At 43.4% G+C, this 22264-nt stretch overlaps 2 annotated features.

Annotated features, from left to right (window-relative positions):
* Nucleotides 9338-10537: an enhancer, noted in NCBI's record as "CDK7 strongly-dependent group 2 enhancer chr5:66501978-66503177 (GRCh37/hg19 assembly coordinates)". NCBI's record gives its function as "activates an origin of replication core promoter dependent on BRD2, BRD4, P300/CBP, MED14 and CDK7 cofactors, with strong dependence on CDK7, by STARR-seq in HCT116 cells {active_cell/tissue: HCT116}" and the evidence as "EXISTENCE:reporter gene assay evidence [ECO:0000049][PMID:35650434]".
* Nucleotides 19088-19327: an enhancer, noted in NCBI's record as "active region_22625". NCBI's record gives its function as "activates an Ori minimal core promoter by ATAC-STARR-seq in GM12878 lymphoblastoid cells {active_cell/tissue: GM12878}" and the evidence as "EXISTENCE:reporter gene assay evidence [ECO:0000049][PMID:35858748]".

Below are 22264 nucleotides of genomic sequence, written 5' to 3' on the forward strand. Positions count from 1 at the left end.
AAAAAAAAAAAAAAGGAAGTCCCTTTTGCATACCACCCATCTTTGCCAAAAATAACTGAGGACCCAACCCCAGAATGGCCCGTTGCATTTCCTGGCACTGAACATGAATCAGTTGTGCAGTCCTTTTGGGCTGATCACACAGACTCTCATTGTGATGGTTCCAATTGACTTTATGCCAACTTCAAGCATTTGGCCAACTCCAACAGCTTCTGGTCCTTTTCCCCGAGAGAGGCTGTGGAAGCTCTACTCACCAAGGAGGCCACTTTCTTAGTTGTCCTAGGTGAGTGAATAGAAGAGGTGTCAGAGAACATGGAAGGGCAGAGCACTCTGCAGGGGCAGACTGAAGAACTGAGCCCTTCAGTGGCACCTGCTGAGCTGGGAACTGGAGCAGGAGGGAGCAGGCTTGAGAGTGTATCTGCTCCTTGAGCCTCAGCTGCTGCCTTGGCCACCTTGTCCATCCCCACCTCTGGTCTTCGTATAGGGGGAAGATTACTTCATCTCTTGACCTGGCGGTTCAGGCTTGTTAAAGCAGTTGGGGTGGACTCTCTTGTTCCCTCCTAACCTGGCCTGGGGAAGTAGGGGACACTGCCATAGATAGAGCAGCCTGGCTAAAGGAGAGTAGAGTTAGGGATGCCAGCCTTGGCTCTATTTCTTCTTAGAAATAGCTTTGAAGCAGGATTACAATTACCCTTATTATGGAGCAAGATGTGGCAATGATTAAAGAAAGCCAAAGTTCAAACATTCCTCAATAGGCTGCATTTAGCTACCTGTTCTGTCTGTTCTTCAACCCTCTGGCATACAGGATATATTTGGTGTTACTGTTCTCCCACTCCATTTCCAAGAGCCCAGTTCTTAGTATCAGAGTTCACAATGACTTAACTACTGCTACTACTACTACTACCACCACCACCACCACCACCACCTCTACAGTATTACTATGATGAATCAAATGACTATAGTATCTGCCATTTATTGAGTCCTTACTATGTGTCAGACACTGGGTCAGGTTTAATGCAGTTTTTTGCTGCATTTTCCTATCCTCGAATATTTCCATATATTCTATAAGAGAGATATTATTATTTCCCTCATTTTATAGATGTAGAAACTGATGCTTAAGAGAAATTAAATGATCTCTCCAAGCCACACAATTAGAGAGTGGTAGATTAGGGCTTCAGATCCAGAAAATCTCACTGCAGAGACTATGCTGCTACTCTTCACAGTTTAAGAAAGGACTTTGCCTCCTGAAGGAGCTGAAGAGTAGATGGGGCGAAGAATGTTGTTCATCTGGAGATTTCAGAAAAGATGCTAAAAAGCAGAGGGGATTGGAGGAAATATGTACTTGGCAGTCTGCTAGGCCTGCTACACATATTTGGGCTTTTCCTGGTCACCCTTAAAATGCCATCTTCATCAACAAAATCATCTCTGAAGATGCTATCAGCAAGACACAGTCTAAGCAAACCCAGACCAATGACGGACCACCTTGCTTCAAATAAGACATCCATCAGTGTATATTAGGAAGAGCTGAGAACTGGGAAGAGTCTAGTGGTAGACCGCAGATCCTTGCTTACCAACTGAGTGACCTTGGGCAAGTCATTTCACTTCTCTAAGTCCGTTTTCCCATCTGAAAAACAAGAATTATAATTCCTCTTCTGCCTACATCACAGAGTAATTATGAGGATCAAATAGGATCATGTATGTGAAAATGCTTTTCTTATCTTAAAGTCCCACATAAATATGCAGAATGTGAGGCAAAGACTGAGTAACGAATTCCAATGTCGTGTAAATATCACTCTCAGGAAATTGTCTCCTGCCCCAGAGATGTTGAAAGGCATATTACTTTCCTTCTTAAAGAAAGGTCTGATGGCTCAGTTAAGGCCATCAGATTTTGTCATTTTCTTAAGCTATATCATTTGCATATGATTTACATGTGTTTGCATAATGAATTCAAAAGACTCACTGCAAGTATATAAGAGTAAAATAAAATGAATGAATATGAGTGACCTTCTGCCACGGTATTCAAATCACATATTCAGGGCATAATACCCTGAAATATGAAATAGATTAAAATGTAAACTATTGCAAACAGATGAGAAGATAGGTTTTAGAGTTTAGAGGCAAGAATGAAACCTTATTTGGTCCCAGAATTTGGATATAAAGAACCACATCCTCTTACAGGTCACCTCATCCAAATGATGTTCATGCCTGAATTCTCTCCTACACACCCCTAATTCACCCCTCTCTGTAGACAAAAACATACTCTCTGAATTATTTTTCAGTCTATTATGAAATGCCTCAGGTGACAGAAAACTCATCATCCCTCACCCCCCAATGGTTTTGGCCAAGTTTGACTGTTTAAAAGGTTTTATCTTATATTGAACTGTTAAAGTCTCCTTTGGCTAACAGAGTAAGTTCAAGGCCTTTTCTACCTTCAAGTATTTGAAAATAGCTACCATGTCCCTGAATCGTTCTCTTTCTAGGTTAAAAATCTCTAGTTCCTCAAACTATGTCATAAATTCATGTATTACAACCCCTAGCAGGCTGTTTATCTAAATGTTTTCCCAATTGCCCAAGAAAAGCACTGACTTGAATTTTAATCCCAGCTTTGCCACTCACTGGTTGTGTGTCACTGGGGCAGTCTCTCAGTCTCAGTTTACTTACCTGAGAAATTATGGAGTTTAACTAGCTTATCAACAAGGTACTTCTTTATTTAAAACTCCATTACTCTATTTCAAAACTATGATTTCCAATTTACTTTTGTAACAGAGTTTTTGGCTTGAGCCAATAATATTGAGTTACACTTGATTTTTGTTAATAATCTGCTCTTTCTTTTTCCAGGTAGTCTCACATCTTCTTGGCAAACAAAAATTAGAGAAAGAAGTTTGGCGGAGTGATGGGCACCATGATTTCTGCATTCCCAGTTGACTCATAGTGCCATTAAGGGATCAAACTGCCAGCACCCATGCTGAGAAACAGTTCTTGCAGAGATATGGAGAGGGAGAAGAGAACATGAGAAAAGGCACCAGAAATGTATTTATTTCTACTGATCAGCATCCATTTCAGTGAGGAAACAACAGACTGTGGGCCCCAGAAGTTTTCAAAAGTTCAAGCATCCTTATATTAGGTATTAACATATATTTACATACAAATCCCAAATCATTGTTTTTGTTGTTGTACTGTCTTTTATTCTACTACATTTGCATGCAGTTTGTCCCTTGTGGTCAGCTATCTCCCCATGGGTGACCCCACAGAACTACCCAATTTCCTGTCTGGTGAGGCCCATACATTCACTTCCTTGTTGCCATGTATTTATAATCTGGGAGTGATTTGGGGTCCTATAACTCTTTATTTGGCTCTTCAGGCTCTTTCCTGGTGATAACTCAAAGGCTAATGTACTTTCTTTCAAGGATGTGCAAACCAAAATATGCTTTTGTGATCTAAGTTTAGCAAAAAGCTAGATATTTTTAAAATAATTTCATTAGGGGATTAAAACAATAATTTATATTATATCTTATGGGCACCAGTTGGTATTAAACTGACCTATATTTTTCCCCTCTCTACATTTAGTTGTAGTTCTGCTTTTTGTTCAAGCCTGCTTTCCTGCCTCCAGATGGTTATGTTTATTTGCATCTAAAATTTTACGTGAATATTTTAAATATTGTATGGTCAGTTTTACTCTTTATCATTATATTTCCCAATATATGTTTGTTTATCTTATTTTATTATTATTTTTTTCAGACGAAGTCTTGCTCTGTCACCCAGGCTGGAGTGCATTGGTGCGATCTCAGCTCACTGCAACCTTGCCTCCCAGGTTCAAGAGATTCTACTTCCTCAGCCTTCTGAATAGCTGGGATTACAGGTGTGTGCCACCATGCCCGGCTAATTTTTGTATTTTTAGTACAGATGGGGTTTCTCTATGTTGGCCAGGCTGGTCTTGAACTCCTGACCTCAGGTGATCCGCCTGCCTCAGTCTCCCAAAATTATGGGATTACAGGTGTGAGCCACCATGCCCAGCCTGTTTATTTTTTAAATCAAATTATTATAACCCAAGGTTCAGAGCAATAAGGGCCCAAAGTCAAGCCCACCTCTCTCTGAGGGTTATTGTTGTGCTGCTTCATGAGTGCACCAGAACAAAGCTATCTGTTCCTCTACTCCTGCCTTCTTGTCATGCTGCTTTTGCTTCTGTCTTTGTGGTTGATGCTGCTTGTGAGGCTACCAGGCTAGACAGAGCAAGTGATGGTGATGCTCCTTTCACACCTTGAGAGGAGACAGGGCTTTCCTCATGTCTGGCTTGATTTTATAGGGGAAGAAAGACTTTTCCTCTACCCTCTTTGGTTCTCAGACTGGAGCCTGTGAATTGAACTGACAAAAGACAGATTAACAGGAGAAAAAGCACAATAATTTTATTTGATGTTAATATTTTTGTGTGGCACAAGGGCTTCCTAGAAAGACAGGAAGATCCCAAAGCGGCGGTTAGACCCAGAGGATTACATACCATTTTAACAAAGAGCAATCAACTGTGGAGATGTTACAAGACAAAGGAAAAAGGGATTTGAGCTAGGAGCAGTAAATTGTGGGAAAGTGACTGGGATATATATGGGGAAAATTAATGAAAGGTAAAGGTTAAGTAAGGTCTGTTTTGACTCCTTGTCTCCAGTGATAAGAATATTCTCTTATTCCAGGTACAGGAATGGCACCTTTCTCATGGGAAATTTATGTCCTGTTTTTAGGTAAAAATGGGGAGGGCAGGAAGCCTCTCCTACATCTGCAATTTCTCAGTTACTTTCAGGTCAGAATAATCAACACATCAAAGTGGTGAATTTTGGGGTGTTATGTTCTGGTCCCCTTCAATTTCAAGCTCAGCTGTGTACTTTTGAAGTTGGACAGGCTTGTGATGCTGACCCTCATCCAGAACTTGACTATTTCTCTGCACTGTTTTTTGTTGTTGTTGTTGTTGTTTTTTTTTTTTTTTTTGGAGACGGAATTTCGCTTTTGTTGCCAAGGCTGGAGTACAATGGCACAGTCTTCGCTCACTGCAACCTCTGCCGCCTGGGTTCAAGCAATTCTCATGCCTCAGCCTCCCAAGTAGCTGGGATTACAGGTGCCTGCCATCATACCCAACTAATTTTTTGTATTTTTAGTAGATACGGGGTTTCACCATGTTGGCCAGGCTGGTCTTGAACTCCTGACCTCAGGTGATCTGCCTGCCTCGCGCTCCCAAAGTGCTGGGTTTACAAGCGTGAGCCACCAGGCCTGGCCCTCTCTGCACTATTATTGGCACTGCTGCCAATGCCACCACCAACAGTGCAAGCACAGTACCTTCACATGACATAGAGAATTTTTTTGTGACAGAGGTGAGCTGTCTAAGTCCTTTCATGTGCCTCTGAGCCCAAATCTTCTGTGTTTCCATACTCAGGGGAAGGGGAGGTCTTTACCTGTCTTATCCAAGGACGTTTGCACTCCCTGTCCCAGGATTTACCTCTTCCCAAGATGAGTGATTTTGGAAATATCCATTCTCTGGGCCTTCATTATAGCAATTTGAAAACTATCTGGTGTTGGAACATTTCCCCAAATCTGGGTTTCACTATTTTTTGTGGTCATCTAGTTACATATATATAGTTCTGAAAATATGTGTAGCATGTTAGAATATTTGTCAAGCTTTAACTTTCAATTAACCATAACATCAGTGCCGTTCACTAACTTCTCTTTCATCTGATGCATTTTTTGAAGGCAGAAATGTTAAAGGCATCCTTAGGGTTTTTCTCTCAAACTGTAAATGAATGTAATATTAACAGGAACTGAGATACAGGGACTAGAATGAGTACAGGGCTGGGAATTGGGATTCTGAGATAAACTCTCAACTCTGAAATAAAATAGTTTCAATAGTGGTGCATTGAAATCAGAAATTTTAAGCTAAAAATAAGTTTTAAAATAATCTAATCCAGCCCTGTCATTTTTTCATTAAGAATGTAAGTGAACAACCTATGAGTTTAACAGTCCCAAAAGTGGAGATTACTTATATTATTATTCAATTTACTTATATTATTATTTACTTTTAGCCCTTCAGGAACATTTTGCACACCCTGTCTTATGTCAGGCTTTTTACTGTGAGCATTGTATTAGATTAAATTTCCGCAGCCCTTTATAGTGAGCGTGGGAGGAAAGGATTGCCCAAGCTAGCTAAGAGGTAGGCAACAACTTCCGTAAATGGCAATGTGGCATCCTTCCTTCATTCTAGTGAACCTCAGAAATGTCCCATCAGTATGACTGGGAGCATTTGTTACAGGCAGGATGGGGTAAGGGAACCTTTTGTTTGTTCCTCTGCTCGATGTGCAGCCCTGTCTTCCTCTTGTGAGCAGGATTAGCAGCAGACAAGAGTTCAACAGCCTTCATGGGTTTCCATCTTCAGACACAGATACCTATTTGATCTTGGACATATCATTAGACTCTAAGTGTTTCAACTTCTTCTACAAAAGAGAAATACTGTCTCCCCTGCTTACCTCTGAAGGGTGCTTGTGAAAGAAAGGACTATAGAGAATAACCCATAAAGGACTATAAAGAATTATTTTTATTTTATGTATTAAAAAAATTTTTTTTCTGGCTGGGCATAGTAGCTCACGCCTGTAATCTCAGCACTTTGGGAGGCTGAAACAGGCAGATTGCCTGAGTTCAGGAGTCCCAGACCAGCCTGGGCACCATGGCAAAACCCTGTCTCTACAAAAAATACAAAAATCAGCCAGGTGTGGAGGCACATGCCTGTGGTCCCAGCTAGTTGAGGGGCTGAAGCAAGAGGATTGCCTGAGCCCAGGAGGTCGAGGCTGCAGTGAGCTGAGATCGCACCATGGTACTACAGCCTGAGTGACAGAGTGAGCCCGTGTCTCTAAAAAAAAATAAATTACAAAAATAGTAATTAAAAAAATATTTTTATAGGCAGAGTTCTCACTGTGTTCCAGACTGGTCTTGAACTCCTGGCCTCAAGTGATCCTCCTGCCTCAGCCTCTTGAGTAGCTGGCATTACAGGCATAAGCCACCATGCTTGGCAAGAATTACGTGTTATTTCTAGCATAAAGCATGCGTGAATGACCAGGCTGATTTATTGTCCATATTCAGTTTGTGGTTTTAAGGAGCAGCTCCTCAGGAGGCAAAGTAAAAGGAAGAGCAAAAATAAAATATATGTAGGTAATACAGACTATATGCCAGGTACTCTTGTAAACACTTGATGTGCATTATTTATCACATATAATTTCAGAACTACTTGTTGATGTAGGTCCTTTTTTTTTTTTTTTTTTTTTTTTTTTTTGAGACGGAGTCTTGCTCTGTCGCCCAGGCTGGAGTGCAGTGACACGATCTTGGCTCACTGCTAGCTCCACCTCCCGGGTTCACATGAGGTAGGTGCTATTTTTATCCCAAATCTATAGATGAGTGCACAAAGGTTAGAGTGGTTCAGAAATACATGCAAGTTCACAGGTCAGAAAGTGGAAGTTCCAGGGCTCCTAACTCTCTCTGTCTGATCCCAGACTCACTCTTGCTTCTCAAGAAATCCCCTGGCTTGTAGTGGAAAGAATCCCAGAACCCCAGCCATATGGCAGGAAATGTGTTCAGCGCGGACTTCTCAGGCGCTCAGGTTTGCCTTCAGGCCCTCCCAGTTTGCAGTCCTCTCTGGGGATTCTTTCTGGCACTTATCTGACAACCACATTTCATAGGATGGAGAGGGTATTTGGAAGAGATGTCAGCCTTAGAAATTTAATCAGCTGGGCCAAAAGCAATCAAGATGCCATCTGGACAGGCTCTGACTTCCTGCCCAGAAGATAAAGACATCTGGACTTAGTAAATGCCAAGGACATGCTGACTTGGTCCCCAGGCCCATGGGCCACTCCTCACTTCATGCAGCTGTATTTTCTTAATTGCACAGAATCTATGGGCTCTGAGCTACTGCCGGGACCACTGAGTGCCTATTGCTGTTGACCACCAAAGTAAACACTGCAAGCTGTAGTGACTTTCCAGTGCTAAGGAGATGGAGTGACTGCAAAGGCCACAGTAAATAGGACTCTTTAATGACAGGGCAGGAGGAGGCTGCCCCAGGCCCAATTTATTGCTGATACAGAGTCTCTGAATTAGGGCACATGATGACCGCTGATCGTTAAGTAGGGCTGTGAGGAAATGTTTGTACATATGAAGAAGCTAATTAAGGTGGCTTGCCAGATATGCATACTCAATCTCTGCTTATTGAGGCTTCTTCCTCCTGTGAGGGAGGCTCTCCCCAATCACATAAGATCTCCAGCAGTCATCCTGCATGTGAGTGCCCTGGGTAGAATATGAAGGGGCTCGGGGACGAGCTTGGGAACTAGAAGTAAATGGTTAAGATTCGGCAGAGGGTTTTTATTGTGGCAATATCTGAACATTTGCACATATTTTCTAAACATCTTTCTAGAGATGACTTGAGTCTCACATACGTGTTTCTATTTTAAAGCAGAGTTTGGATCCTTCCAATAAGTGCCCAAAGCCACCAAATTTGGTATAGCTGGGACTAAAATGCTTTGCTTTTCCCCAATAACTTCCCCAGAGAAAAGTGCTACTTGCTCTAAGTAGACTCGTGAGATTTCCATTTTATAAATAACACTGATCAAAACTATTGTAAATAGTTCTCTTTCAGCTCCTGCATGGCTGGAACATATGTAAGATTTTTAGGTTTTTGAGATTTGCTAGTTTGGGGCAATTTACATTTGGGAGTTTTAATTTCAAAATAATAAAAAATACCGAGTGTTTCCCAAGTTTTCGATTCTAGCCTAAGATCTGGAAACAACTATAATTTCTGACTTAAGAACAAAACCAAACCAGCCCCAGTCGCAGAAATCTATCACTTTATTATGTGGAGATTGATGGGGAGTTGGTCAAAACCTTGCTCAATCCCTGTGACCTCCGTGCTCAGGAAAACACATCTTCATTATTTTTCTTTGATTTTTATAGGTTGCATTTGTTTCTTTGCCTGTCGTTCATTTCACTTCGATTGCATTTTCTTTCTGAAAGTCTTTTTCCTGTAAGGCCAGTTTGGTCAGCATTCAGTTCTTGCTTTAATTGGGCCTCTTTAAGCTTTCATCCCCTCAGATTTTTATATTCGTTTTTATTGTTGAACCTCACTTTAAGCTGTGGCTTTTCATTGTCATACCTTCCCATTTGTTCCTCATTCACCAGAACTTTGTTTCTGTGGGATCATCATCTTTCTTGGTCTGTGGAAGGCCCAGGTAGCACCCATTTGTTTTCTTCCCTCAGTGTCTCGTTGGGGCCCACTCATCTGAGTCCTTGGGGTTGCTCAGATGCCTGATCATCTCAGCAGCCAGCACCATCAAAGAGGAAACCTGCCTGAGATCCCGGCTCTGAGCTTCTTCCAGTTCAGGGTCTGGGACCTAGTGTCCAGCTGAGGCACCGTGGGATGTGTTTGTAGGAGGTAAGTCAGGGAGTGGTGGGCTCCAGCCCCCTGAGATGTGACATGCCCCACAGCCCTGACATTGGCCAATGTGGTAGGCAGTTCACCTCTGAGGTAGGGCAAATCTAGCTTTTTGACTTTTTCCCCAAATGAGATGCAAGATATGGAGCCTATGGAGAAGAAAATAAGAAGCTAAGAACTGGTGTGTCTTGGGTTTTCAACCAGAGAAAAAATCCAGTTTATATGGCAGAATAAGCATATACCATGATCAGACCAGCCATAAACAGACATCAAGGTAGCGAAAAAGTCCTTACAGAGAGATGCCATCAGCAATGGCCAAGTATGGTGATATTCTAACATTCTAGTTTCAAATTCTAGCATAGTTTTTCTCGTTGGAACATAACTACTGTAGTTCCTGTTGCAGTCTATAATTAATGAACAAACAAACAAAAAAAGAAGTAAAAAGAGGAAATTGTAAAATTTCTGTTCCCACCTTCTAAATATAGTTTAATTTGCTTTAAACAAATCTACCATAACACTTTTAATTTGTAGAACTGATAAACATTAATTTATCAAAGGACTCATATTATTTGTGACTGTGCTCACAGACTAGAGTTCCTTGTAGAATTTCTTTCAACTGTAACAAACGTGGTGCAAGTTTTTTGATGACTTGATTTTTAAAAATTTAACTACACATATCTTGGCTGTATAAAGCGAGGCTGACTTGTAACTTTGAAACATGCACATTAAATAGTCAAGAGTCAATAAAGAAACTGAACAAATGACAAAAAATGTTTGCTTCAAGTGAGTCAGTCATGACAAAACTACTCTCAGAATTGATTTGGAGATAGCCTAGGCTGTGGTTTTTCAGAGAAACCTGTACAGCTGGGTGGGGCACTGCGGTTTGCTAGTTTCTGGAGAGGTCAAAATGTGAAGTCAAAATGGTGTGCTGATACGGGAAATGACTGAGCTCCATTGCAATTCAGACCTATGACAAGCGGTTAAGGCACCTGCTATCCCCAGGCCTCAAGCTCTGTGTGGGTGCAGTGGAGCTGGATTCTTGAAGAGCTGGTTGTTTTCCAGGGCAGGAGATGGCCTGCTCCCAATCCAGAATTCTAACAAGAAAATAGCCTGGCCATGGCCCACACTTCCCAAATAGATGCACCTTTTTTTTTTTTGGATTGTCATCTTTTAAAAAAAAATACATATACTTTCATCAGCAGAATTGAATTTGGAAGGTTGCTGATGTTTTTTAAATTAATAGAATATGAAGCATTTACCATTTTCATAAGAAAGCTCATTAAAATTTACCTTTTATCCCCCTCTTGTCTGAGAAATGAGTATCTAGCACATAGTGCTTACTATTGCCAGGTACTGTTCTAAGTATTTTAGAGATGCAAACTAATGTAATCCTATGCCTAGACTCTGAGTAGTCTTTTCTAGGCAAAGAAACACAAGGAAGCTAAGTAAATTGCCCAAGGTCATTCACTGTATGGATGGGTTGGGGCTTGAACCTAGGGAGTCTGGCCCCAGAGATCAAACAAGAGAAAGAAGGCATCAGGGAAGCCCGAAGAAGGGAAAAAAAACCCACCAAAACAACCAGTTTTGCCCAATGCTTTGAAGAAAACTTTTAATCCTGTCTCCTTCCTTGCCCATGAAAAATGTCCATTTAGTCATAGTCGGAGTCAAGGGCAGAGCGAGGTGGGAGAGTGCCAGCCCGATGCTCTGTGACCCCATCCCAGCCTCGTCCCCTAGGCTTTCTCTTAGGCAGTGCTCTCCCAGCCTCTGTCATCTCCTTAAACATGGGTCTCCTTGCCTGGGCGAACCCTGCACATCCTTCTGAGCAGCACTGCCCAGTAGAAATGGGAGCCACATATGCAACTGTAAGTTTTCTAGTAGCCCACCTTAGAAAGAAAAAAAAAACCACGAAACAAATCTGTCATTGCTTTCTTCTTCCACATTTTGCTTTTTAAACTTCTGTTTTAAGTTTTTTACTTTAAAAAAATTCCCAAAAAGGAGACAGAAAACAGCTCCTGGAAGAATTTACAACCAACTGCATCGGGGTCTGGGAAACTGGACCAGGGTGGGGATGAGTGGATGGGAAGGGGTCCCCTTTAGTCACTGCGGCCTCACTGGAAGACCAAGGGAGCAGGGATTCTTCAGTCAAAAGGGAGGCAGGGAAGAGAAGTGGGAGGAGGTGGGAGTTGGGTGGTTGGAGGAGATGAACAGAAAATAAAATGTCGTTGTCTGGTTAAATCCAGAGAAAAATACCTGGCCCTGTAAGGAGGGAGGATGCCCTTCCAAGGGGATGGAAGGGGTCTGGAGGGAAGCAGGGTAGGGAGGCCACCCTGAGACCCTGGGCAGGCCCTGGTGGAGGAAGCGGGCAGGGGCCTCCGGGACTGTGGGACACACTAGCTATTGTGTTCTTGTGCCATCACCCTGTGTGTTCCCAGAGCAGCTCCTTGCTTCATTTTGCTTTCTCTTAATAAATGACATGGCAGTCCTCCCTGCCCCAAAGTGAAAAATTAATTAATTTCAGGAATATATTTTATTTAACTCAATATATCAAAATATTATTGCAATCATATAAAATCAATGTAACTGATGTGAAATATTAATGAGATGTTCACCTTCTAACTTTATACTATGTCTTCAAAATCCAGGGCTTGTTTTACATTTCCAGCACATCTCAATTTTGGCCCTATATTTTCATTGGAAATATTTGATCCGTATTTAGATTTCATAAAATTCATAGCCAAAAAACTAGATTGACATAACCAAGTTGTTCCAGGCACACTTAAGAGTTTTTCAACCACTGAATCGAGTAATAATGTTTAATGTTTAAACAAGTTAAAATGAAATAAAATTCAATATTCAGTTTCTCAGTCTACATTTCAAGTGCTCAAGAGGCACATATGAACTGGAGAGAAATGAAACCAAAAAAACACGGGCTAGTGAGTTCAGATTAAACAGCCACCTGAAATCATCATTGACTGATTACTCTTCTTGCTGGCTACCTCGGCACAGCAAACTGCAGGCAGGCCTGGAAGCTTGGGTTTTTGGCATGGAGTGTTGTCAGGTTCATTCCTACACGGTAGGCAGTGGCAGGAGTTATTTTGCAAATGTTAACCCTGCCACCTAGTGACCACTTTCTGAATGTCACTTGAAGATTACCACCTGAAAATTCGTGTTGACCTCAGTCTTGCCGCCCTTCCAGACTTTCTCCTGCTTGGAGGCCCCATGTGGCACGGTGCTGCTGATGTGTCATAACTGTTTTGGGGCTGCGTTAGCGATCCCTGGAGGATATGGACTGAGCTGTATCTCCCTTTGTTTTCCCACAACAGTAAGGTGCTTGGAGATTAAGGAGCACGTCTCAGGAGCATCCTATGTGCCGAGGAGATGGCTTCTGTCTCCCCAAGGGTTAGAGTTCCCAATTTCTCTTGTGTGACTCAATTGTAGCACCTGAATCTTCTGTTTGTTAATATGTGTCCCTCCTCCATTGAACTGCGAAATCTGTGAGGTCAGGGACAATGTCTTTCTTATGTTTGAGCCCCATCCCCTAGTTTGGTATCTGTCTGACAACTGTCAGGGGAATGAATGGCCGGATGGCATGGCTATAAACTCCCAGTCTGCCCGGCATTCTTGCCATAGTTCTCCAGATGGGGCATCTTCCCTTTTCCACTCTCAGGATGAACTGTGTCATCTTTACGTTTCTTCACCCCTTAGCCTCCCCCTTCTTCCATACATGTTCAGCACATGCTTAGTATATGACCTTGCCTTGAATTTTGGAAATAGAAAGCTGAAGTTAGGAATTCCTTAATTTACACCCACCAAACCTTCAAACCTACCTCTCCATGTGCCAGCACATGCACCTGGATGCCCTGCCACACCTTCCAAGTGTGCTCTGAATCCCCGGAACCACTCATTGGGATCACCTGGGGAGATTTGACAATGATTGATGCCTGGGTTCCAAAGCAAAAAGTCTGATGTCTCACGTCTGTAATCCCAGCACTTTGGGAGGCCGAGGCAGGCGGATCACGAGGTCAGGAGATCGAGACCATCCTGGCTAACACGGTGAAACTCCGTCTCTACCACAAATACAAAAAAAAGAATTAGCTGGGTGTGGTGGCGGGCACCTGTAGTCCCAGCTACTCGGGAGGCTGAGGCAGGAGAATGGCGTGAACCTGGGAGGCGGAGCTTGCAGTGAGCCGAGATCATACCACTGAACTCCAGCCTGGGCGACAGAGCAAGACTCTGTCTCCAAGAAAAAAAAAAAAGTCTGATGTTATTTGTCTTGGGTTTAGGCTGGGTGTGGGGATTTTTAAAAAATGTCCCCAGGGGATCCTAAACTACAGCCAGGATTGAGACCTGCTCTCTGAATCCTCTGTTTCTGCCTTCTCAGGCTTCAGCAGGTAGCCCCACTCTCACCTGCATTTCCAACCATTTCTGTTTTTGGGTCATTTTCCAAATCATATGGAATTGCCCTAAACTCTGCCATATGAAAATAAGAATTAAAAAAAGCTTTCCTGGATCCAATATTCATAGCAACTATCTGCTTTCTTTATGCACTTTCCAAGCCAAACTTCAAGAATAAGTCACCCACACAGGCTGTTTCTGCTTCCTCCTCATCGTTTTCATAAAATGTACTCCAGATTGGATTCTGTTCCAGGGATGATCACCCTGTCATTCAAAACGACTCACCTCCCTTGGCCTCCAAGACCCCATGTTCTCCTAGTTTCTTTCTCAGGCTACCTTTCCACCTGATCTCCCAATGTTGAGAGTTCCTCAGGACACGTGCTTGGCTGTCTTTCTTTCTTACTTCACTTCCCACAGCTTTTCAGTCCCTGGGACTTTGGAACTTCAAGCCTGTGCTCAGACCATTCTGTCAGTCTCATACCTGCATATCCAAATCCCTATTCGGCCTTCCTTTCCAGAGGCGTGTGCTAGACATCTCAGATTTCATGTTCCAAATGGAACTTTAAAAAGTTAATTAATTAATTAATTTATTTTTTGAGACGGAGTCTCGCTTTGTCGCCCAGGCTGGAGTGCAGTGGCGCGATCTCGGCTCACTGCAAGCTCCGCCTCCCGGGTTCACGCCATTCTTCTGCCTCAGCCTCCCGAGTAGCTGGGACTACAGGCACCCGCTACCACGCCTGGCTAATTTTTTTTGTACTTTTAGTAGAGACGGGGTTTCACCATGTTGGCCAGGATGGTCTCTATCCCTGACCTTGTGATCCACCCGCCTTGGCTTCCCAAAGTGCTGGGTTTACAGGCGTGAGCCACCACGTCCGGCCTAAAAAATTTATTTTAATTTATTATTATTTTTTTGAGACAGAGTCTCACTCTGTCACCCAGGCTGGAGTGTGGTGGCACGATCTTGGCTTACTGCAACCTCCACCTCCTGGGTTCAAGCGATTCTCCTGCCTTAGCCTCATGAGTAGCAGGGATTACAGGTGCACACCACCACACCCAGCTAATTTTTGTATTTTTAGGTAGAGATGAGGTTTTGCCATGTTGGCCAGGCAGGTCTTGAACTCCTCACCTCAGGTAATCCACCTGCCTCGGCCTCCCAAAGTGCTGGGATTACAGGCGTGAGCCACCATGCCTGTCCCCAGATGGAATCTTGATACACCACCCCCCCACACTTAGACTCGTCTTGTATAATAGTTCCTATTGTATTAATTTCCTATGGCTTCTGTAATAAATTACTAAAAATGAGCTGACTTAACCCAGCACACATTTATTTTCTCATAGTCCTGGAGGCCAGAAATCTAAAATCAATTCCTCTGGGTTGAAATCAAGGTGTTGGCAGGGCTGTACTCCCTCTGGAGCCTTAGGGGTGAATGTGTTCCTTGTCTCTTACTGCTCCTGTTAGCTGCTGGCATTCTTTGCTGTATTAGTCAGGATTCTCCCAAGAAACAGAACCAATAGGATCAAACTGTCTCTCTAGAGAAGACCAATGCTCCAGCTCATGCAGTCACGTAAGAGAAATTCCCTCTTACTTGGCCTTTTTCTTCAACTCCAATCTTCAATTGATTGAATGAGGCCAGCCCACTTTGGCGAGGATAATATACTTTACTCAGTCTGTTCATTTAAATGTTAATCTCAACCAGAAACACCTTCACAGTCACATTAAAAATAATGTTTGGTCAAATGTCTGGGCACTCCATGGCCCAGTCAAGTTGACACATAAAATTAATTGTCACACTTGGCTTGTGGTAGCATCACTCCAATCTTGGAGGCCAGCATCTTCAATTCTCTTTCTGCCCTGTCTTTACATAGCCTTCTCCTCTGTGTGTGTGTGTGTGTTTTAATCTCCTTCTGCCTCTTTTTTATAAGGATACAAGCGACTGCATTTAGGTTCCACCTAGATAATCCAAGATCATCTCCCCATCTCAAGATCCTCAATTACATCTACAAAGACTATTTTTTTTTCCAAATAAGAGAATATTTACAGGTCCCAGGGATTAAGACATGAATTTCCTCGGAGGACCATTATTCAGCCTATTACATCAATTCATACAACAGCAATTTTATCCGCCCAATGTCTTAAGCCAGAAATTTGGAACTCACATTTGTCATAAAATTCTCCTCAACACCATTTAATCCAGCCATAACTCCTGTATTTTCTTTTAAAAAGTCTTTTTTTTTTCAAGATCACTAGGTTCTTATAAATAAATCTTAATTCTCCTCAGTAATTTCCCTCTCCTCTGCCACCAACCTAACCCAAAACATAATATCTTTCCCATTCTTTTTTTTCTTTTCTTTTCTTTTTTTTTTTTTTTGAGACAGAGTCTTGCTCTGTCACCCAGGCTGGACTGCGGTGGCCCGATCTTGGCTCACTGCAACCTCCACCTTCTGGGTTCAAGCGATTCTCTGCCTCACCCTCCCGAGTAGCTGGGATTACAGGTGCCCGCCACCACACCCGGCTAATTATTGTATTTTTAGTAGAGACAGAGTTTCACCATCTTGGCCAGGCTGGTCTTGAACTCCTGACCTCGTGATCCACCTGCCTCGGCCTCCCAAAGTGCTGGGATTACAGGCTTGAGCCACTGCACCTGGCCCCCATTCTTATTTTAATCGTTCATTTATGTCCATTGTAATTTTCTCTTTATTTGTGATGATGTTAAGTGTCTGTCTCTAGTCACTAGATTATTGGCATTGTGAAGGCAGGACCATACATGTTTTGTTCATCATTATATTTTAGGTCTCAGCATAGTGCTTAGTACAGAGTAGATGCTCAATAAATATTTAACATATATATTATATATATTAATAGATGGATGGCACCTTTTCCACCATGAGGAAGCTTCCAGTCTGGTAAAGGGACCATTAAATATATATAATTTTTTTTTTTTTTGAGATGTAGTCTTGCTCTGTTGCCCAGGCTGGAGTGCAGAGGCGCTATCTCGGCTCACTGCAAGCTCTGCCTCCCGGGTTCACGCCACTCTCCTGCCTCAGCCTCCTGAGTAGCTGGGACTACAGGCGTCCACCACCATGCCCGGCTAATTTTGTGGTATATTTAGCAGAGACGGGGTTTCACCGTGTTAGCCAGGATGGTCTCGATCTCCTGACATCGTGATCTATCCGCCTCGGCCTCCCAAAGTGCTGGGATTACAGGCTTGAGCCACCGCACCCAGCCTAAATATATTTTTTAAACCCTAAATTACTTTGTTGATTTAAACTGTTCCTATTGAGAACCATCTATATGCCAGACATTGTATTAAGCTCACAGGATCCACTAATTAACACATAATATGAAATTCCTTGTTTTCACAGAGCTCTACCTTTTAGCTTGGGAGAAGACAGATAAAGGCATAATAAATACATAATAAATGCATTTTATGTATGTATATGTGCTTAAATAAAACCTTAGAAAGGGAAAAGTGATGTGAGAAAAATAGAGCAGTTTAGAGAAGAGTTGTATACATTTGCAATTTTTAGATGATGCAGAGCTTTTTGAGAAGTTGAAATTTGAGAAAAGGCCTGAAGGAGCTGAGGAGGTGGGTGAGTCATGAATGCATCTCGGGAAGGAGTTCCCCAGGCTGAGGGAGCTGCACCTGAGGAAACCCAGGAGGCAAAGGTGGTCCTGGTCAGGATGATGAGGAGGTCCGTGTGGCTGGAGCAGGTGAGCTAGGTGGAGAGAGGCCGTAGATGAGGGCAGAGCTGCTGCGGGAGCCAAACGTGTAAGGATCTTTTCGGGCAGTGAGAGGACGTTGGTTTCTCACAGCAGAGAAGGGACATCATCTGACATATTTTAAAAGTATCTCTCCGGCTCCCTTGTGGACTGTAAGGGACCAAGAGTTGAAACAGGCACCCAGGAGGAGTCCTTCCAGCAACTGAGGTGAGAGATGATGGTGGCTCGGACCAGGGTGACAGCAATGGAGGTGCTGAGAAATAATTAGATTTTGGATACATTTTGAAAACAGGGCCAATAGGAATTTCTGACAAATTGGATATGGAGGGGTGGGGGTTTGGGGGAAGAGAGAGAGAGAAGAGAGAGGTCAAGAATATCACCAAGGTTTTTGGCTCATGTAACTGAAAGCTAGCCTAAATTCAGAGTTTTATCTGGAATTCTACCCCAAACATCTTAATTCCCTAAAGTCACTGGAATGGCTCAACAGCGCTGAACTTTCCAGACAGCTGCATGGAGTTGTCATCCATCCTTCTCTGGAGAGTGTCTGATCCCTTCTCTAAACTTATGCCCTGCTCCTCTCCCCTATCTGTGCACAGAGGACTTGGTCCGATTCTACCTCCGGAACAATGCTCAGCCCACAGCCCTCATTCCCTCCGTGATGAACAGTAACTGTGGACTTTTGACCTTCCTCTTGAGCTTGGTCTGAGTCTTGGCATTTACAACCACGGCTCTAGGTAAGGACATGCTTTGGGGTGTCTTTCTGGCCCTTGCCTTTGCGTTTGCGCATAGGGCTCTAGTGGCCCAATTATGTTGTTGCAGTAAAGTTTCTCCTTGCTCTGGTCTGGAGCAGTTGAGGTCATTCATCCCCTGGATCTCTGTTGGCACAGGTGGCTTGGCCGAGTGCCACTTTAGGTAACTGTGACCTGTTTACTCAACTTCTTCCTGGAGTTTTGATATTCTTGTTGTCAGGGCCTTTGAGAAAGTTTATACGATGGGCTCAGTGAAGAAGCCGCAGCTGTTCTGAAATTAGGCTCCTTTCCCCGTGAATGTGCAGCTATGCGGGTGTGTGGATCAGGTGCACAGGGCTTTGAGGAATGTGGCGGAGACTCAGTGGCAAGAACAGTTGTCTGTGATTGCTGGGCCTTGTTTTGACCCAGTCCCTCACCCCACATAAGCCTCTCAGCGAGGAACATGGAAGGGTCAGGCCTCTCACGTTTCCTCCCCTGTGAGATTGGATCGCCACTGTGATGGCATTTCTCCCCATCTTCAGTTGCTGGGCAGACCCTGCGTGTGTGCGCACATGTCCATGAGCCCACAACCCTTGCATATTTGCAACAAAAGTCTCTGGGGAGAATGAATTTAAATGGACTCTTGACTATTTGTTCTGGAGCGGCACGTGTTTACTTAAGTCACCAGCCTCCTTCCTAAATGCAGTCACGAGCTCTCCCAAACTCCACAGACACCCAAACAACCAAATATTCAGAGAGCCCGTGCCCTTGCCCTGCTTCAGCCCCACAGCCCCGCCTGGGTTGCTGGTCTGACCCGGCTGGGCAGGGTGGCTGTGAGCTGCCGGTGTGGCCCCAGGCACCTCAAAGGGTCCTCGGTGTTCAACAACAGGAAGTGCTGGCAGGCTTCCCTCGCTAGGGAACTGAAAGTGGTGACAACAGAGGATGTGTTCTTCAGGCTATCAGATAAAGCCCTCTGCACTGAGAACTGCTTCTGACGAGGAACAGAGACTTCACTGGTCTCTTCCCCATGCCTTGCCCTTGCCCTAACTAACTTCTGAATTTATATCACCTGTGAGTTCTGCTCTAATTCAGGGACTTGGGCGGAGAGGTTTCGGACAGTGGCCAAAAGCAAGAGACTGTCTGCATGACCCTTTAGAAACACCCGTGACCTGGTGCAGAGCTGAGCCAGCTTTGGCCACACTGTTTGGGATGCTGACTCAACGCAGCTCATTATATCTGATTGAATTTATCTTTCATTACTATGCAATCAAATTAAAGGGCAAGAAGGGATTTTTCTCTGTTTTCTGAAAGTGGTTGCAGCAAAACCCACTATGAAGCATTTATTTCTTGTATTGTTTAGACTGGGCAGAATCAGAGGGAGGTAGGTGTGTGACTTCATTTAGGAGAAGGTGAGCACTGATGGCAATATTTTCTTCAAATGCCACACATGAAGTGGGAGAGGTGACAGCCAAGCCTGCAGGGACTCTGTCTCTGAAAATGTGAGTGGAACAAAGCACCTCTGGGCTCTGGATCATTTTCTTGTGTGCTCCTGGGGTCTAGTTGGTTTAAACTCTTGAAGGCTGCAGTGTGTTTTTTGATATACCCCCATGTGAAGGGACATTTATTTAGCATAAACTATGGGCTGGGCACTGTTCTAAGGGCTTTGCATGTATTCACTTAGATTTACAAATTACTGAATATTGTTAAGAACAAAACCTAAGGAGCACAGGAGTGTGCACGGTGTTCTTTTGTTCCTATAAAAACAGCAATCATTCCATTGCAAGTGAGGGAAAAGTGGAAGGGTACCCAAGAAAATGGTAGAGTGATTGTCTTTGAGGAGATGAACTCAGGGACTGTGGTGTGGGGAGGGAGACTTTTCATTGAATACACACACTGCTCTGTTTGAATTATGTTTGACCATGTGGGATGCATCCTTGTTTCAGTATAAAAACACTGCATTTATTTTTAAAGGGAACAAAATGAAAATTTTATAGGCCAAGGCAATGTTGTGGGTCAGATCCTGGGGGCTGAATCCTGGAGTAGGGCAAGTCCAAGGCAATACTGTGTGTAGAATGGTGGGATGGGAGGGGGAACTCTGAGAACTATTTTTCTTCAGACAAAAAGACACAAAAGAGCTTGCTATCCTGGTGACGAAGAAATAGTTCTAATCTCAAACTGGAAGCTAGAAATTTAGGAAGGAGAACTCAAAATAGTAGTAAAGTCCACTTGATATGAACCAGTGTCAAGGTAAAACGAGAAATGTGAGCCCACCCCTGTAACTCACCCGCTATGTATGTGTTGTTCTAATTCCAAGATTTCCTCACTATGCAAGTCAGGCAGGCCTCACTTTCCCATCCTACCAGACTCAGACCCAGCTGATGAAAACCTACAATGTGCCTGTTACACATACAGTCAGAACACTGGCCCAGTCGTCTGGTCCTCAAGTATATGTATTATAGATGGAGGTTACTGAGCTAGGGTTGTGTGGAAGCCAAGACAGATGGGACTCAAAGCCTGCCACTCCTGGAAACCACTCTCTATAAGGATAACACATGCATCAGAAACTCTAATGGAGAACTGACGGTGATTAGGACCACCAGAGGAATAGGTAGAGGGGAATAGGGTTTCAGAGAAGAGGAGGATTACATTAATCAAGAAGCAATTGAGACATTCAAAAAGGGTTTTGCTTGCCATTGGAATTTTGGTAGAGGGAAGGAAGGATATTTCATGCAGAGAGAGTGGCTTAAGCAGGGAGAGCCAGGTGTGTTTAGGGCACAGGTAGAGAAGTGGTTGAAATGCATTGGAAAGGGAGTGGAGGGAGAGCAGCCTGGAAAGATAGGGAAGGGTAAGCTCACAGGGGGTCTTGAGGTTATACATTCTGTATAAGCAATGGGAAGTCATTTCATTGTTCCAAGCAGAGGAGTGACAGGACTTGAGTTGCGGTGCAGCAGAGGGGAAGAGGTAAGAATGAGGGTTTGGGAAATGGATATGGACGCTTTGGAATTCACGGTCCAGCTGAGAGCTAGTGAGAGTAGAAGCAGAAGGAAGGAAAAGAAGCCATTAATGACAGATTTTTCAAAAAGAAGAAAAGAGAAATGAAAATTCATTGGGTGTCAGAATAGAGGGAGCAAGGGGTGAAGTTTTGCACCTGGTTTATCAGGAAGAAAGGGCTGGAATAAGCAAGTTTGGAGGCAATGGTGCCAAGGAAGGTGATGAGTTAGCACAGGGATTTTGGGGGTCTTGCACACAACACAGAAAAGTCTGAGACTGGAGCTGAGCAGAGGAGCTAGATATATTTTTGGGAGTGACCTCTGTAGTTGAAACAGTCCAAGCCCAAAGAATAGATGATCTTTGCAATTAAAGATTTTTGAAAGGGGAAAAAAGAACATGATCTGGCAAGGTAAGCCAAAGAAAGAGGAGACAAGACAGAATAAGAAGTGGAAGGTGGAGTCATGGAATCATCATAGTTCTGGCAGTGCAACACAGGAGTTTGTGATAACACTTGCTACATGCACAGAAGTTTGAGGAGGATGAGATGAGAAAGGCCACTGTTTAAGGCAGCTCAGAGGTCACTGGTGACCTTTAAGAGAACTGTTTTTGGAGAGCATTGGGTGAAGGAAACAAAAGGTTTAAAGCATAGTTTGCAAATTTCAGCACCATAGGTTGAATTTGACAAGAAGTATTTTATTTGATCCTCAACACTTAAAACATCAAATAAATTTATAACATTTAAAAATTGGTAGCTTTCACATAAAAATTCATAATTCCAAACACGCGTGATCTGGTCCCTCAGATCGCATGGGTTTGGAATATGGGCTCTCATTCCTCTGTAGCTGGAGCTCTTCTAGCAGAGGCATGGGTTGGGGAGGTAAGTGGAGTTGCCCCCTCTGTAAATGCAGGACCAGCCCAAACTGGGCCTACTCTGTTGATAAGGGAATGTCAAGTTACCTTGTAGGTAGAACAGAGCCAAACTGCAAG

The sequence above is a fragment of the Homo sapiens genome, chromosome 5, assembly GCF_000001405.40.
Source record: "Homo sapiens chromosome 5, GRCh38.p14 Primary Assembly".
In the NCBI taxonomy this organism is placed as follows: domain Eukaryota; kingdom Metazoa; phylum Chordata; class Mammalia; order Primates; family Hominidae; genus Homo; species Homo sapiens.